Source organism: Homo sapiens, chromosome 8 (assembly GCF_000001405.40).
Source record: "Homo sapiens chromosome 8, GRCh38.p14 Primary Assembly".
NCBI classification, from domain to species: domain Eukaryota; kingdom Metazoa; phylum Chordata; class Mammalia; order Primates; family Hominidae; genus Homo; species Homo sapiens.
The window spans coordinates 101,257,778-101,272,750 of record NC_000008.11 but is presented as its reverse complement, the minus strand read 5'-3'; the positions used below and the strand labels follow the sequence as shown (position 1 = coordinate 101,272,750).

At 44.8% G+C, this 14,973-nt stretch overlaps 2 long non-coding RNA genes across 3 annotated transcripts in view; one reads left to right on the top strand and one right to left on the bottom strand.

Moving 5' to 3' along the window:
• The window catches only part of LOC107984005 (uncharacterized), a 79,776-nt gene that overhangs the window by 20,784 nt on the left and 44,019 nt on the right, over positions 1-14,973 (bottom strand). For both annotated transcript variants that reach the window (XR_928468.3, XR_928469.2), the window contains exons 2-4: positions 11,570-11,712; positions 6,846-6,978; positions 5,779-5,874 (exon numbers count right to left, since the gene is read on the bottom strand). This is a non-coding gene — a long non-coding RNA (uncharacterized LOC107984005). The remainder of the gene's footprint in view (positions 1-5,778; positions 5,875-6,845; positions 6,979-11,569; positions 11,713-14,973) is intronic.
• Positions 9,813-11,201, top strand: LINC02844 (long intergenic non-protein coding RNA 2844). Its single transcript, NR_183452.1, has 2 exons — positions 9,813-9,984; positions 10,369-11,201. It is a non-coding gene; the product is annotated as a long intergenic non-protein coding RNA 2844 (long non-coding RNA).

Sequence of the window (14,973 nt, the reverse complement as noted above, 5' to 3'; positions counted from 1 at the left end):
CAGCTGCCCTTGGAGGCCCCTGAGGGAGGCTGATGGAAAGCCCAGCACCAAAGGAGGAGCTGTGGGAAGGAGAAGGTCAGAGCTGGAGGCCTGAGGAGCAGGCAAGGTAGTGGGTGGTGGAAAGGGCCTACTGCTGCCCCACTCTGGCAGGGCCCACCTTGAGCTCTGCTGGAGGGGAGTAGCAGCCTCCACCTGGGCCTCCTGCCTCCCATCTCCAAACTGTCTCCACACCACTGCCCAAAAAATCTTGCTAAAGTAAAAATCAGATCATGGCATTCCCAAAACCCTTCTGTGTCTCCCAACTGCCCACAAGTCAGAGCCATTCTTGGCTCTTCTTTGGGCACTTACAAAACATCCAACTAACAGAGGCTTAAGCAAGCGGACATTTAATTATTTCACATAACAAGAAGTCTACAAGTAGGCACTCAGAGCTGGAGCAGCAGCTCACCCTCATCAAAGACTCTTTCTCATCCTAATTTTCCACATCCTGTTCCTTAGCTGTGGGTTACCACCTCAGGGCTGCAAGGTGTTGGTTGCAACTCCACATTATGTGTGTATTCCAAGCAAGATGAAGAGTTCCTGCCTGGCAACAATGATGGTTCCTTCAGTAGGAGAGTGATATGGTTTGGCTGTGTCCCCACCCAAATCTTGAATTACAGCTCCCATAATTCCCACATATCATGGGAGGGACCTGGTGGGAGGTAATTGAATCATGGCAGTGGGTCTTTTCCATGCAGTTCTCATGATAGTGAATATGTCTCATGAGATCTGATGGTTTAATAAAGGGGAGTTTCCCTGCACATGCTCGCTGTCTCACCCGCTGCCATGTAAAACATGACTTTGCTCCTCCTTTGCCTTCCACCATGATTGTGAATCCATTAAATCTCTTTTTCTTTATAAATTACCCAGTCTCAGGTATGTATTTATTAGCAGCATGAGAACAGACTAACACAGAGAGCAAAGCACATTTCTGCTGCAAACCCCAGGTACATATAAGTTTACTGTCTTTGTCTAGAACTGTGTCACATGGTCACTCCTCTCTGCAAAGAAGATGCAGAAAATGTGGAGTTAGCTTTTCCAGCCATGGTAAGATGTCAGAGGAGAGAGGGTTGGGAGTGGCTATTTGGTGAGTCTGGCAACACTGAAGCCACATTGGCTTTCAAACTCACCAGTGGCTACTTCCTCTCTTGCCAGGCTTGCTGACTGACTCCCCATTTCGTTCCTTGGGTTCTCAGTCTGCAACATCCTCCCCAGCCTTGCCAGCCTGGCAATTCCTTACTCCTCCTTCAAGACTCAACTCATGGCCCCTCCTCTGCTACCCAGATTCCTCCCTGGCATCCTGCACAAACTTTCACCATGGCACCTCTTCTATGAGAGCAAATTTTTCCTTTACCTGAGGGCCCCATCATTAGCCTCTGAGCTCTTTGAGGGCAGGTGTTATGTCTCATTTTTACTTTTTCAGTGTGCAGGCCTAAAATCCTAGAGTCATACCTCCTTTCTTTCTTCACGTCCCATGTCTGCTCTATAGTAAATCCTGTCACATATCCTCTATGTAACATACATAACCAGGTTCCTGATGCTCTACCACCATCCTGACCCACCTTGTCTCTCACACGCTTTGCTACAGTGCCCTTTCAACTGCCTCCCTGCTCGTCCCTTTCCTGACCTCCATCCAGTCAATTTCCATCACAGCAGATCATGTCCTTCCTCTGCTCTAAACCCCCGGATGGCTCACATTCCACTCAGAGTCAATGCCAAAGTCCTTTACATGTCCTATAAAGCCTATATCATCTGCCTCCATCCCCTACGTCTCTGATTTCCTCTCCTACCACTTTCCCCCTTAAAGACAAGATACCCACTGGCCTCCCTGCAGGTCTTAAACCACACCAAGCATGCTCCAGCCTCAGGGCCTTTGCATGGCTGTTCCTTTTACTGGACAGATGGTTCTACCCCTATGTATTAGTCAGGATTCTCCAGAGAAATATAATAGAACCAACAAGATATATAGAGATATATAAGAAGAGATTTATTATGAGAATTGGTTCATGAGATTACAGAAGCCAAGAAATCCCGCCACCTGTCAACTGCAGTCTGGAGAACCAGGGAACCTGGTGATGTGATGCAGTCCAAGTCTGAGGGCCTGACAACCAAGGGAGCTGATGGAGTAAGTTCCAGTTCAAGGACAAAGGCCTGAGACAGAGTAGCCACTTGTGTAAGTCCCAGAATCTGATCTCCCAAGAGCCAGGAGCTCTGCTGTCTGAAGATGGGAAAAGATGGGTTTCCCAGCTCAAGCAGAGAGCTAATTTGCCCTTCCTCTGCCTTTCTGTTCTATTGGGGGCCTCAATGGCATGGATGGTGCCTGCCCACATTGATGAGGGTGGAGCTTCTTCACTCAGTCTGCTGATTCTAATGATCATCCTTTCCAGAAAAACCCTTGCAGATGCACCCAGAAGTCATGCTTCCTCAGCTATTGGGGTTTCCCCTAGCCCAGTCAAGTTGACATATAACATTAATTATCACACTCAGATATCCATGTCCACTCCCTCCCCTCACTCAGGGCATTTTACTCAATGCCATCATTACAGTGAGGCCACCCGTAACTGCAAAATTTAAAATTGCCATGCCCCACCTAACACTCCCCATCTCTCTTCCCTGGTTTATTTTCTTCAAGGCACTTAACTAACATATTAATAGTATATAATTTAGGTATATAATTTATTCATTTGTTTCCACCACTCTCCCTGTGGATTATAAGCACTCTAAAGGCTGTTTTGTTCTCTGCTATAAACTGAGGCCTAGAACACATAATAGTTGCTCAAAAAATATTGATAATTAATTGACTGATTGATTGCATGAGTGGATCTTTGCATCCCAAGCACGATGCCTGGCCCATGGCAAAAGATCAATAAATGTGTTAAACTGATGAACAAATGACCAACTGAGTTGGGAAGTACAGACTGGAAAGAATGGATGCACTGAGCAAAGGCTATTGAGAAGCTAGTGCTACAACAGCACATCAGGAAACCAGGTGTCACAGCAATATGAGTAGGGCGTGGGGAAGGAGAGCACTGGGGAAGGAAAGTGAGAGGGGAATACTGTGACATTCAAGCCATTAATTCCATCCAGGATTAATTTTAATTAACCCCCAAAAGGCAACTCAATTCTATTTTCTCTTTCATCCTTCAAGTTCAAGCATGGATCTTGATTTAGAGGGTAGGAGGGGAGCCCCTTTTGTATAGATGGAGGAAGAACACAAGAATAAGAAGCCCTACTGACTTTACAGGGTGGGCGGCAGAACAAAGGTCTGGTTGTGCTACGTGAAGCCTGGCCAAAGATAAAGTGGGGAGGAAAAGAAAGATCCTGGTGCCGTGCCCAAAATCTGGTTGCGTCTGTAATGCAAGCTGTGTTTATGACCCATTTTTACTGTGGTTTGTTGTGTGTGTAACAGAGTCGAATCTCAGCAAATCCAGTAGCTGTTGCTGAAATGCAATTCAACCCAGTTACATTTTGTACCAGGTTATGCTGTAGCCATGAATTTTTTATTGAAAACTATACTACTAGAGTCGATGGAATTGTTTTAATTTATTCCAATTTCTCTGAGAGAAGACCAAGTAAAGGAGGGTATGCAAACTCTTCTTCCCAAGAGATGGTAAATGACCTTCAGCATGACCACATTCTCAGGTTGTGGGGTTAGGCAATGAGAAGAGGGGGACCCCAGGCCTCAGAGCATGTGTCACTAGGCTCAGCCAATGCTCCAGGCTAAAAAGTGGGCTGCCCAAAGTCCCTGTTTGCTCACTTTGCAAAATGGGCCTGATAATACCTTCCTCCTTGTTGGATTTTTGCAGGGTCACATGAGATATCTATGAAACTGCTTTAGAAAACACAAAAGGATGTTAATGAGTCAAGGTGGGAATAAGCAGCACTGGACTGGGCCCATGGGCCTGAGGAACCTGTGTTGCTGAGCTGGGCTCACAGGTGACCGCCAGAGAAGAGTCTTGGCCCCAGGCAGCTACAGACTGCAAGATAGAGCAGGTTGGAGACACCAAGGAACTCCCAGCATGAAGGCCTGCTGTCTCTAATCAGATCTGACTATACAGAGTGGGCCATGTGTGTCCCTTGAACTAGAAGCTCGACCCTGACAGTCTTGGAAGAGGTCTGTGAGACTCCCGGAAATAGCACCCAGAGCTATCAACTCTAAAGTATTAAGATGCCCTGTTCTTTTCTTTCATAAATCCACTTACCTAAACAAAAAATAAATAACATTCACCCTCCCTTCCCACCCTCCCCTCTTTCACATCCTCTCCTTTAAGAGCCCACTTCCCCTATAGAAGCAGAGCTCTTTCTGTCGATTTGGGAGAGATCATGTTAAACATTGCAAAGAGGACCCAATGTTCCTAGTTATAACCCTGAGTTCTGGTTATTCAAATGAAAGGGTATCTCAAAATCAGACCCAGATTCAGCATGTCACCTACACAAACCTGTATAACTCATATACAATGTGAGCCTCCTCTCGCTGAACCAACTGTAGATCCATATGCACATGCAGTGTGCAGCATTTGTCTGAACACGGGGTAACCTTGGATACCAAGAAAACCAACTTCCTTGGTCTAGTTGCTAAGACAACAGGACAGAGGTGGGTACGGGGGAGCCCAGCATAGCTATCTACAGGCTGTGCTGTTGGCAGGGGGACATGGGGAGGGGAGAATGGGAGGGCTTTGGGCCGCCCACCTCTCCAAGCCTGGACTCCAAAGGCTGCAGGGACAGTGCAATATTCTTGTGTCACCAAATACCAAGGAACCTCTAAGTGGGACCCTATGATGCAGTCCTAGAGGGATGCAGGACCAACAGAACTGCCTGGAGGTGGGGATTGGGGACCAGATGCAGGCAGACATAAAGTGAAGGAGAGGGATGCTCCAGAGTTGAGGAGTGTGAGTTGTGGGACACAGCAGCTACCTGCACAGATGAAGGTCGAATCCAGAATATTCTGGCTCCAACCACACAATTCACCCCAATGCGTTATTCATGTAAGCCTGGCTAGTCCTGTAGTGATCCACCTGTGAATGGTTGGAAGTAAAGCTGAATGTTTTAGAATATTCTAAAGATCAGGAGACAGAGGTATTAAAACCCAAGAGTCCCTGCTCCTACTCCATCACCAGTCTGATCAGAGGCCCTGTGTTTACTCTGTTTTCATCAGATTTGACCTGCAGAGTGGGCCAGTGCCCTCTCCATGCTGAGGAAGCCAACATCTTGTTCTCTTCCAGGCCCCAGAGAGGTAAGAGGCTCCCTACTCTTTCTTGAGCCTGGAGGGAAATCACTCTCATGGGCCGTCAATCCAGGCAGGGCTTCATGACCCTGAGCCACCTGTGTTCACCCAATTCATGAATCATAACTTTTTAATTTTGTTTTTATGATTTATAAGTTTTTGAAGATATAAGGAAGTTCACAAAGACACAGAGACAATGGGCCATTAAAATAATCATTAACTGAAAATTTCATCAAATTGCAGATGTAAGGGAAGGCCAGTCAAGGAGTGGCCTAGAGTGCTTGTATCGGAAACTAGCTAAAGCTAGTTGCTAAAATTAAGCTGAAAATTTAGATCTGAGCTTTATGGCAACCATTTTCTATGCACCTCAATGAGTTTCTAATGGTCTTATAGGCACTAGAGACCCACTAGAGATGTGGACCACGGTCCCTATCCGCATAGATGTGGACCACTGGGCCTGCAGAGGAAACTCCCTGTGCCCATGGCCTCCCTTGCCCTTCTAGGTCCGCCCTTACCTATGCTGGCAGCTGGCTCGATGAACGCAATCCATCCAAAAACGAGCTATCCATTGTGCAGCAAGTATCTTTTGAGGACTGACAATTTGCCATGCTCTGTAACAAGTATGGGGTATACAATGGTGAACAAAAGAGTCACAGTCTCTTTCCATGGGAAGTTCATGATCAACAAAGAAGAAAAACCCTAAGCAAATCACTCCCCTTCCTAGAAACATTAGATGAACTGGACCAATCAGATTCTTCTCTCGGAAACTGAGAATTGGGGCAGTGAGTAAGAAAGCCGGGGAGCTGGGAGGTCATACGGAATAAGAAGGTGACTGGGGCCATGGGAAAGCAGGTGAGCCTGCACAGGAGGCTGGTCTGCAGAGGGGAGCCTGGAGCAGAGGCTCAGGGAGGCCCCAGGTCAGGTGGAATTAGGAAAAAGGTGGCCTTGTTGCCAAAAGCTTTCTGGATTCCACGAGACTTGCAGTAAATATCCCCTTTACCTGAGTAGGTTTGAGTGTAAGTAGGTTTGAGTGGGTCTCTGTTGCTGGTAATCAAAGGAACCATGGTGATAACCCCCCCTCCCCCCGCAGTTCTTCACAGCTGCAACCATTTGGAGGCCTGTAGAGCCTGTCTTCATTCTGATCTTTCCCCATACACCTTCTGCTCTAGCAGACCAGACACCACAGTCCTGACAAACACCCGGGGCATGGCCTGCTCATGCTGTGCCCCTCAGCTCACCTCTACCTATCTCAACCCTCCCCACCTGCCAGGCTCATTGGTAGGCTTGCCCCTTCCTGCAGCCCTCTCTGGTCCTCTCTGCATGGCCTCTCCCTTACTGACCTCAGGCATGGCTGGGCAGCCCCACCATCATCACTTGTTAATCTGGTTTCCCTAACTGCCCAGCAGCTATCAGCCCTCAATAAGTGTTTTTGTTTTTTCAAAAAAAGTAAATAATCATTCTGCATGTGTACCCCAGAACTGAAAGTATAATAATAAAAATAAATTTTAAAAAACATAAATAATGAGGTTAAAGACTCTACCACTTATTTTCTGTAGGTTCCCCCAACACCCAAGTGGATTACCTAGAACAGCTGAGGAGGCAGAAGTTAGAGAAGTGAACAGCAGGCATTGGGCTCCAGCTGGACACAGAGGCAGAAGGGGAGCAGGCAGGCTGCAGTGAGGAGGGGCGGCCCTCCAGGACCATATCGGTGGCCCCTGCAAATAGAGAAGAAGGGGAGTGACCGGACATCCCACAGAGTGAAGTCAAGGAAAGAGGACAAGGGGACAGGGAATTAGAGAAGGAATATGGGAAAGAGGTGAAGATTTCTAATTTGATTTCAGAAATAAATTATTTCTGAATGATTTCCAATTTGAACCAGACTGGTTCAAGATAGGATGTGTGTTAATATATATTTCCTGAATTTTAAAAGAAGTAACTATTTGTAGTAGAAATGTAGAAATTTTGGTATTTATCAGGAAGAAATACAAATTTTACATAACAAAATAACTGAAAATCCCAACACTCAGATAAAACTTTTGATATCATTTCAGTCTATATCCATCTAGCTTCCCCCTACCCAGTGTGTGCATCTGTGCATGCATGAGTGTGACTTACTTACTTGTAGGGTATCATTACGTGATTGTGAATGCACTGATTTGCAATACATATTTTCTTATAATACTAGGACTTCTGAAACATTTTTATATCCACTATATATCTATTATATGGCTATTTATAATAAATCAATTGTGATTTGTGTACTCAATCCCCATGCTGGGCATCGTGTTAGTTCCATTTTTTGCTGTTCTAAAAATGCTAAGACGACATCTTTGTGGATGAATCTTTGTACTTATCTATGATTATTTTCTTAAAATAAATTTCTAGAAATAAAAAGTAAGTAAAATTGTAACACTTTTGATAGGCCTTGCCAAGTCCCCCTCATTTTTCCACCCGCCAGCATGTGGCACTGCCTGCTACCCCATCCTGGACAGGCCCACCCAGCAGACCATGTTCCTGCTCACTTTAGCTGTCTGATATCCAGGGACCTCCTAGTGCCTGACATGAGGTCCATGTAGGACTCGATAACTCCTTGTTGCTGTTGTTGTTGGACACTGGGTCTCACTCTGTCACCCAGGCTGGAGTGCAGTGGCATGACCACTGCTCACTGCAGCCCCAACCTCCTGGGCTCAGTGATCCTCCCTGCTCAGCCTGCTGAGTAGCTGGAACTACAGGGGCGCACCATCACACCCAGCTAATTTTTTTAATTTGTAGTAGAGACAAGGTCTCACTGTGTTGTCCAGGCTGGTCTTGAACTCCTGAGCTCCAGGGATCCTCCCACTTTGGCCTCCCAAAATGCTGGGATGGCAGGCATGAGCCACTGCTCCCAGTAATACAACCTTGTGGATTAACTGAATCTTCCCTTGCACCCTTTATTCTCCCAACCACATAAACACCCTGGAGATCTCAGTCTGCCACCTCTTGTTTCCAATAACCTGTTCTTTACCCTTTCTTTGGTTTGAGCTTTGGAGGGTCTGTGGGGAAGCAGTAGAAGAACTGGACAGTTAGTTTTCAAAGAAGTAGTTAAAATTTCTAGATGGTCTCATCGAAGTCTAAGGCATCAAAGCTTCATATAGAATGTGTATATTTGTATTTGGGTCTGCTGCAAAGGAGCTGTGCGACCTTCCATCACTTCTGAGTTTCCTTCCATCTTCAACCTCCTCTTAGAAGTTTATGCACAAACTTAAACACCCAAGCTAATCCCCACTGAGAGACCTGAGATCACTCTTTACGCTGCCCTGCCTTTGCGCATGCTCATCTTTCAGCCTTGAATGACTTCCCCTCCCTTCCGCACTTTCCTTTCCACACTTTTTTTTTCTTTTTAAAGATTCCGTGTAACCACCTCTTCTTTTGTATAAAATGAACCCATTCCCCATCCTAGATAGAGTTGACATCTGGTACACACTTCTGTAATAAATCCTTTTTATTTTAGTTGCCTGTTTTCATGCCTGTCTTTCCCTCTAGTCTACGAGGTTCTAGAGAACAGTCACATGTTCATTCAACTTGGCAACCTCAGCCCTAAGTACACATAGGAGCAGCCAATAGATGTTTACTCGATACGCATCTGTGAAGTTAATAAATGATCCTTGATGATCATTTTTATGGATGACTCTATTGACATGTATTGACTCAAAGTTGCTGGAGTTCCCACATCAAATAAGGCAATGCTGATGGCACCCCCAGCCTTGCAGAGCAAGGAAAGGAGGCCCTAGGGCCACAAACCTACCAGCCTCTACCTCCTGACTCCTTCTTTACAATTTAAAAAGAAGGGGGAAATACCCAGAAAAGGCAAGTGCAAATACTTCAGAGGGAAGTCTTGGAGTCAAGTCATCTCCTGGGTAACAGCTAACATCAAGGTATGACATTGTAACTGCCTGACAGTTTCTAAGTGGTGTATGTACAGGGAGTCAGTGAAGCCTCACAACAATCCTAAGGGGTAAACAGTTTCATCATTTCCATTTGTCAGGGAAGAAAACTGAGGCGCCATGAGGTTAATAGAACTTATCCCTCAGGCCAGGCATGGGGGCTCATGACTGTAATCCCACTATTTTGGGAGGCCAAAGCAGTAGGATTGCTTGAGTCCAGAAGTTCAAGTGCAGCCTGGGCAACATAGCAAGTCCCTGTCTCTACAAACAAAGAACTTGTCACTCAGATAACGAGGCCATAGCCAGGATTTAAACACAGGTAATCTAGCTGCAGCATTTGAGCCTTTATCCTCTATACTAAATGACCTAGTATCGAGTCTAGTATAGTGGAGATCTCTCCCTTATGCTCCCCAGCAGCCATTCATCTTTTTCTGGTAACTAAATAGCATAGATTTTCTTCTTATCCTTGTGCTCTGGTTGGAGTGCTGGAGCATGTGACCCGGACCTAGGCTGGTACCAATCAGAACAACCCATTTCCTATACCCAGTGATTGGACCCAATCAGAGCCAATGAGATTCAACTTGACCACTGCAGGGATTTCTGGGAAAGAAACCACTCTATCTGCTGGACTTGGAGTTGAAGACTGAGGAGCAGCGGCAGCCATCTTGCCATGCTGTGGCACTGAGCATGAAGCCATCAGGCCGGAAGTGGAGCCGAAAGTTGAGACTAGAGACCAGGCGCAGTGGCTCACGTCTGTAATCCCAGCACTCTGGGAGACTGAGGCGGGCAGATCACGAGGTCAGGAGTTCGAGACCAGCCTGGCAAACGTGGTGAAACCCTGTCTCTATTAAAAATACAAAAATTAGCTGGGCGTGGTGGCACACACCTGTAATCCCAGCTACTTCGGAGGCTGAGGCAGGAGAACCACTTGAACTGGAAGGCGGAGGTTGCAGTGAGCCGAGATTGCACCACTGCACTCCAGCCTGCACAACAGACCGAGACTTGAACAACAATAAAAAAAGATGAGGACCAGAACCCTGATCCCGATGACCTTGTTTGAGGCCTTCTCAAGCTGTGCCCGAAACCAAACGTCTCTTAAACCTTTCAGTGATATGATCTGATAAAGTCAATTTTAGTTCAAGCCAGGCTTTGTTTTAAAATGTCTTTTTTTTTTTTTTTTAGACGGAAGTTTCACTCTTTTTGCTCAAGGTGGAGTGCAATGGCGCGATCTCGGCTCACTGCAACCTCCGCCTCCCGGATTCAAGCGATTCTCCTGCTTCAGCCTCCTGAGTAGCTGAGATTACAGACATGAGACACCGCGCCCGGCCTAAAATGTCATTTTCTTCGGTGCCACGGGGAAGTGAAATAGTCCTGAACAAAATTATATATCCTATCTGAGGTTGGGATGAGGCACAGAGGTGGGAAGAAAAAGTCCACAGTCAAGTACATGGGCTGGACATAAATGAGAGCAAGACTGAAATGCTGAGGGGGCTGCAGGGAGAGGCACAAGTTACTTGCATATAGCGGTGATAAGCCTAAGTGAGGCAAACTGAAGTCCTCAGGGTTTTCTATGTTTTTGTTTTCCATGTGGCTAAAAATTCTGTGATTTTTGTATACTACTGCAGAAATACAGAATCAGGTCTTTTATTTCATAACTTACTGACACTGGCTTAATTTCTTTGCACAGTTCTACCCTATTTCCAAAAAGCTAAAGAGAGGAATGTGCTAGACCACCCTCCCTGCCTCACTATGCCATAGTCTCTTTTGGGCACACATTATATTCCTATCCATGACAAGCAGCCAGGGCAGAAGAGCTCTCTACATATGTGCCACCTTGTCTCCAAAACCTGCTGTCCCCTTTGGACAGACTGGCCCATCCCTGACCACTGTTCTCCCCTGTCTTCAATTCCTGATGGCAACAAGAGAGATTCTCTGACTGTTTCCAAGGATGTCATTCTCAGCCTCACCTCCAAGTTTGATTTTATAGAACAACCAATAAATGTGGTTTCACCTTCCTTGAGTTCACAACCATTCTCCAAAGTGTATTCAGAAGAACACGAGTCCTGGGAGATGTTTCTCACAAACAGAGCTTGAAGGCCAGTTTGGAAAATATTGCATGCCGTAACTCCCTTTAGAGATTCACAGTGCACGCTTTCATTTCCAAGGCTTGGAGAGCCTTTTCTCACATTTTATGGGCAAGAAATGATTTTTAACGTTGTGTTAACATTCTTCAGAGCAGGTATTCCATGGAGTATGCTTTGAGAGATACCAATTTAAGAGCATAGTTTATGATCAGTAAATTATAAGCAAATATTTTATTAATTCTACTATTACAAGAACGTCACTTTAAATAATTTGAAACAGACTAGGAATGTTCTTTTACCTTCTGCTTTGATGAAAGTAGATGCCTGTTATGTCCAAGTGAATGTGAATCCATCATTTTCCCTCCGTTTCTTAAATCCTGCAGCTCTAGTGCTCATGCCATCACCATGCAGGAGTCCAAGTGAGATGAGGACTAAGAATTTGCTGTAAGGAAATATGGTATGAGCAGAAACAGGGGTAATGGTTGAAAATATGCAACTGAGGACAGAATGTACCTAGGAGACAGTGGTTGACTCTCCAGCAATGCCACTGAGGCTGCTAATAGAGGTGCTGTGTGCTCCCCCGTTTTTATGCTCATCTCCTGGAGGACAGAGGCATGCAGAGCCAAGGGAACAGAGAGAAGACATAGCAGTTCCAGCATCCAAGACAGGGTCACGATGGATGTATTGTCCTTCCTGGTTCCCAGTGTAAAGCCACTCACAATGGCCATGTTTGAACACTGTATGTGCCAGGTGCAGGGCTGAGAGTTTAATATCATTATCTCATTATTAAGTCCCCACAATGGTTTTGAGAATGTCATTTATCACCATTTTGTAGATGAGGAAACTGAGGTTTAGAAGCTGACCCACAGTCATAAATCCACTAAACTGGCATGGTTCCCAGATCCCTTCACCAGGAAGCTACAAGGTCTCACATCACCTGGGCAGTGTCCCACCAGCACATCCTGCTTTGTCCCACAGGAGTGACATGAGAGTGTGGCAGGTGTGTTCAGAGCCACAGGCCCACAGCCCAGTCAGGCTGTTCTTGTGTTGACTGACAGCCTTGGGACTTGGTCACCTGAGCCCCAGTCTGGGAGGAGACAGGAAACCAGCTGGTAGTTGAGGAAGACTTATGAGCAGTTTTCAAAGTACCCTAATAGATGCTAGAAAGAGAGAAAACTATTTGACTCTGGTGTGTATGACTCACATTTTGAATTTTTAGTAGCATAAAAATGGATTATATTTATAATTAAATGAGGGGTTTTTTGGTATTTGGATTTAAAAAACAAGGGGCAAAAAGGAGAAAAATTGGTCTTTACTGGGCAAACAACTAGGTAATAATTAACTACTATTAAGAATCAAGTAGGAATCTTAATATCTTTTCAGTTTTTATAAACCAAGGAATTTTGATGGGGATGAGGTGATGAACCCCATCTCTAGTCCTTTCTTTAGTGAGGATCGCTTGTGATGAGTTAGGATATGCATAGAGGGGAGAAAGGAAATTGAGGGGTAACATATTGGGATATCATTGTTTCTCAGTTACTTATTTCTTCACCTTCAGCTGCTATCATGGAGCTGGGACTGAGTCATTCTAGAAAGGGCACACATTTACCTTCCATACTTATATATTTAGAGCGTCTATTATCTAACTTTGCCTGCTAGTATTGTTAACTAGGTACATATCTGACACCCCCACTATTTCATACTTCCACATTTCAACTTAAACCAGTAATGATAAAAGTGAGGATCTGAAATCTGACCTGAGTTCAAATGCTGACTGCATATGACCTTGGATAAATTAGTTCAATTCTATGAGCCTCAGTTTTCTCTTCTGTAAAATGGGGATTATAACAGTCCATTCCTCAAAGGCTTGTGAAGTTTAATAAGCATGATGTATATATAGTTCTTAGTGCAATGCCCGGCACATAGGAAGCACTTAATGATACTTGTTCCATTCTTAAGGAAAAGGCTGTGCTTTGTAATGAAGAAAAAGTTAACTATTTGTAAAGTAGTTTCATGCAAATTATCTTGATCCTAATACAGAGCTCAGCAACTAGAAGTCAGGCTGCTTGGGAAAACTTGGCATTCTGTTACAATGATGGTGGAATAGTAATTGAGAAATCTTTTAGGAAGGCAATAGGGTAACAGAAATCAAAGACATAACTTTTGACCCTGCAGGACATGTACACAAAGATGCATATGTAAAAGTTCATCATAATCTTGTTCATAATATTGAAATTTTGGAAACAACCTAAATGTCCAACAATATGAGATTAGTTTATAAATATGGGTACATCCACACAGTATGTATGAGGACTCTTCTTGTTGCAAGTAACAGTATCATATCGGATGTAGCTTAAGCCACAAGAGGGAATAATTGACTTAATCAAGAGAGGTAGACCTAGCTCAGATGCCCCTGTTCTGTAAACCCTTCTCTGACCCACCAGGCAGGATAAATTACTCCTCTGTGCTGCCAGAGTATGACCTTTATGTATCTTTCTATCCCCAATGCCTAGAGCAGTGTCTAGTCCAAGCTAGGAGCTTAGCAAATGAATGAATGAATCAGCCAATGAATCAATAACTTTATGTGAGAGGCCAGAAGGAAGCAATGTGGTCTAGTGGAAACAGATGTGGAGGCAGGTAGTCCTCAGTGCAGAACCTACCTTTACTGCTTACTAGCTGTGGTTACCTTAGGAAAGTCACTCAACCAACCTGAGCCTCAGGTTCTGCTTTGTAAAATGATAGTCATGGTAGCCACCTTTTCCAATAACTGCAGAGGATTGAAGAAACCACTTATCTTTAATTTAAAAAATACTGATATATCTTTCTAATTATCAAAGTAATAATTAAATTGCACCTTTTTTTTTTTTTTTTGGAGATGGAGTCTCGCTCTGTCACCCAGGCTGGAGTGCATGATCTCCGTTCACTGCAAGCTTCACCTCCCAGGTTCAGGCCATTCTCCTGCCTCAGCCTCCTCAGTAGCTAAGACTGGGACTACAGGCGTCTGCCACCGCGACTGGCTTTTTTTTTTTTTTTTTTTTTTTTTGTATTTTTAGTAGAGACAGGGTTTCACTATGTTAGCCAGGATGGTCTTGATCTCCTGACCTAGTGATCTGCCTGCCTCGGCCTCCCAAAGTGCTGGGATTACAGGTGTGAGCCACTGCGCCAGGCCTTAAATAGCATCTTTTGACGCTTTTTATGCAACTTGAAGATTTTAGCCTGCTTTTACTCCCCAGATTTCTCCTTTACTCACTTCCAGGTCTGTATGAATATAAGCAAGGTTTCTAGATATTTCTTAAGGTAGCATTCAGTCATTCATTTATTCAACCCATATTTACCCCCTCTACCAACTAGGCACTATACATGTTCTGAGCGCTCACAAAGATGGGCAGATAAATGTAAAGAACAAGACTATGTGGAAAGTGCTGCCAAAGAGGTGTGGCTTAAAAGCATACTATAGAAACACAGAGGAAGGAGCTGCAGCTCCAGGAAAGCTGGAGGAGGTCAGTTCTTCCCAATAATCACTGATACATGAATCTTGAAGTTGCTAAAGAAGACATGGGGTTTTTCTTAAGTAAGCAGGACTGCGCAGAGATGCTTGACTTCTAGTTACAGCATGCAGTGGTAACAACAGCAGAGAAGAGGTCTCTTTGATGGAATGTCCACACTTCTGGTATCTTCCTAAGAGGGAACAGTGACAGGACTG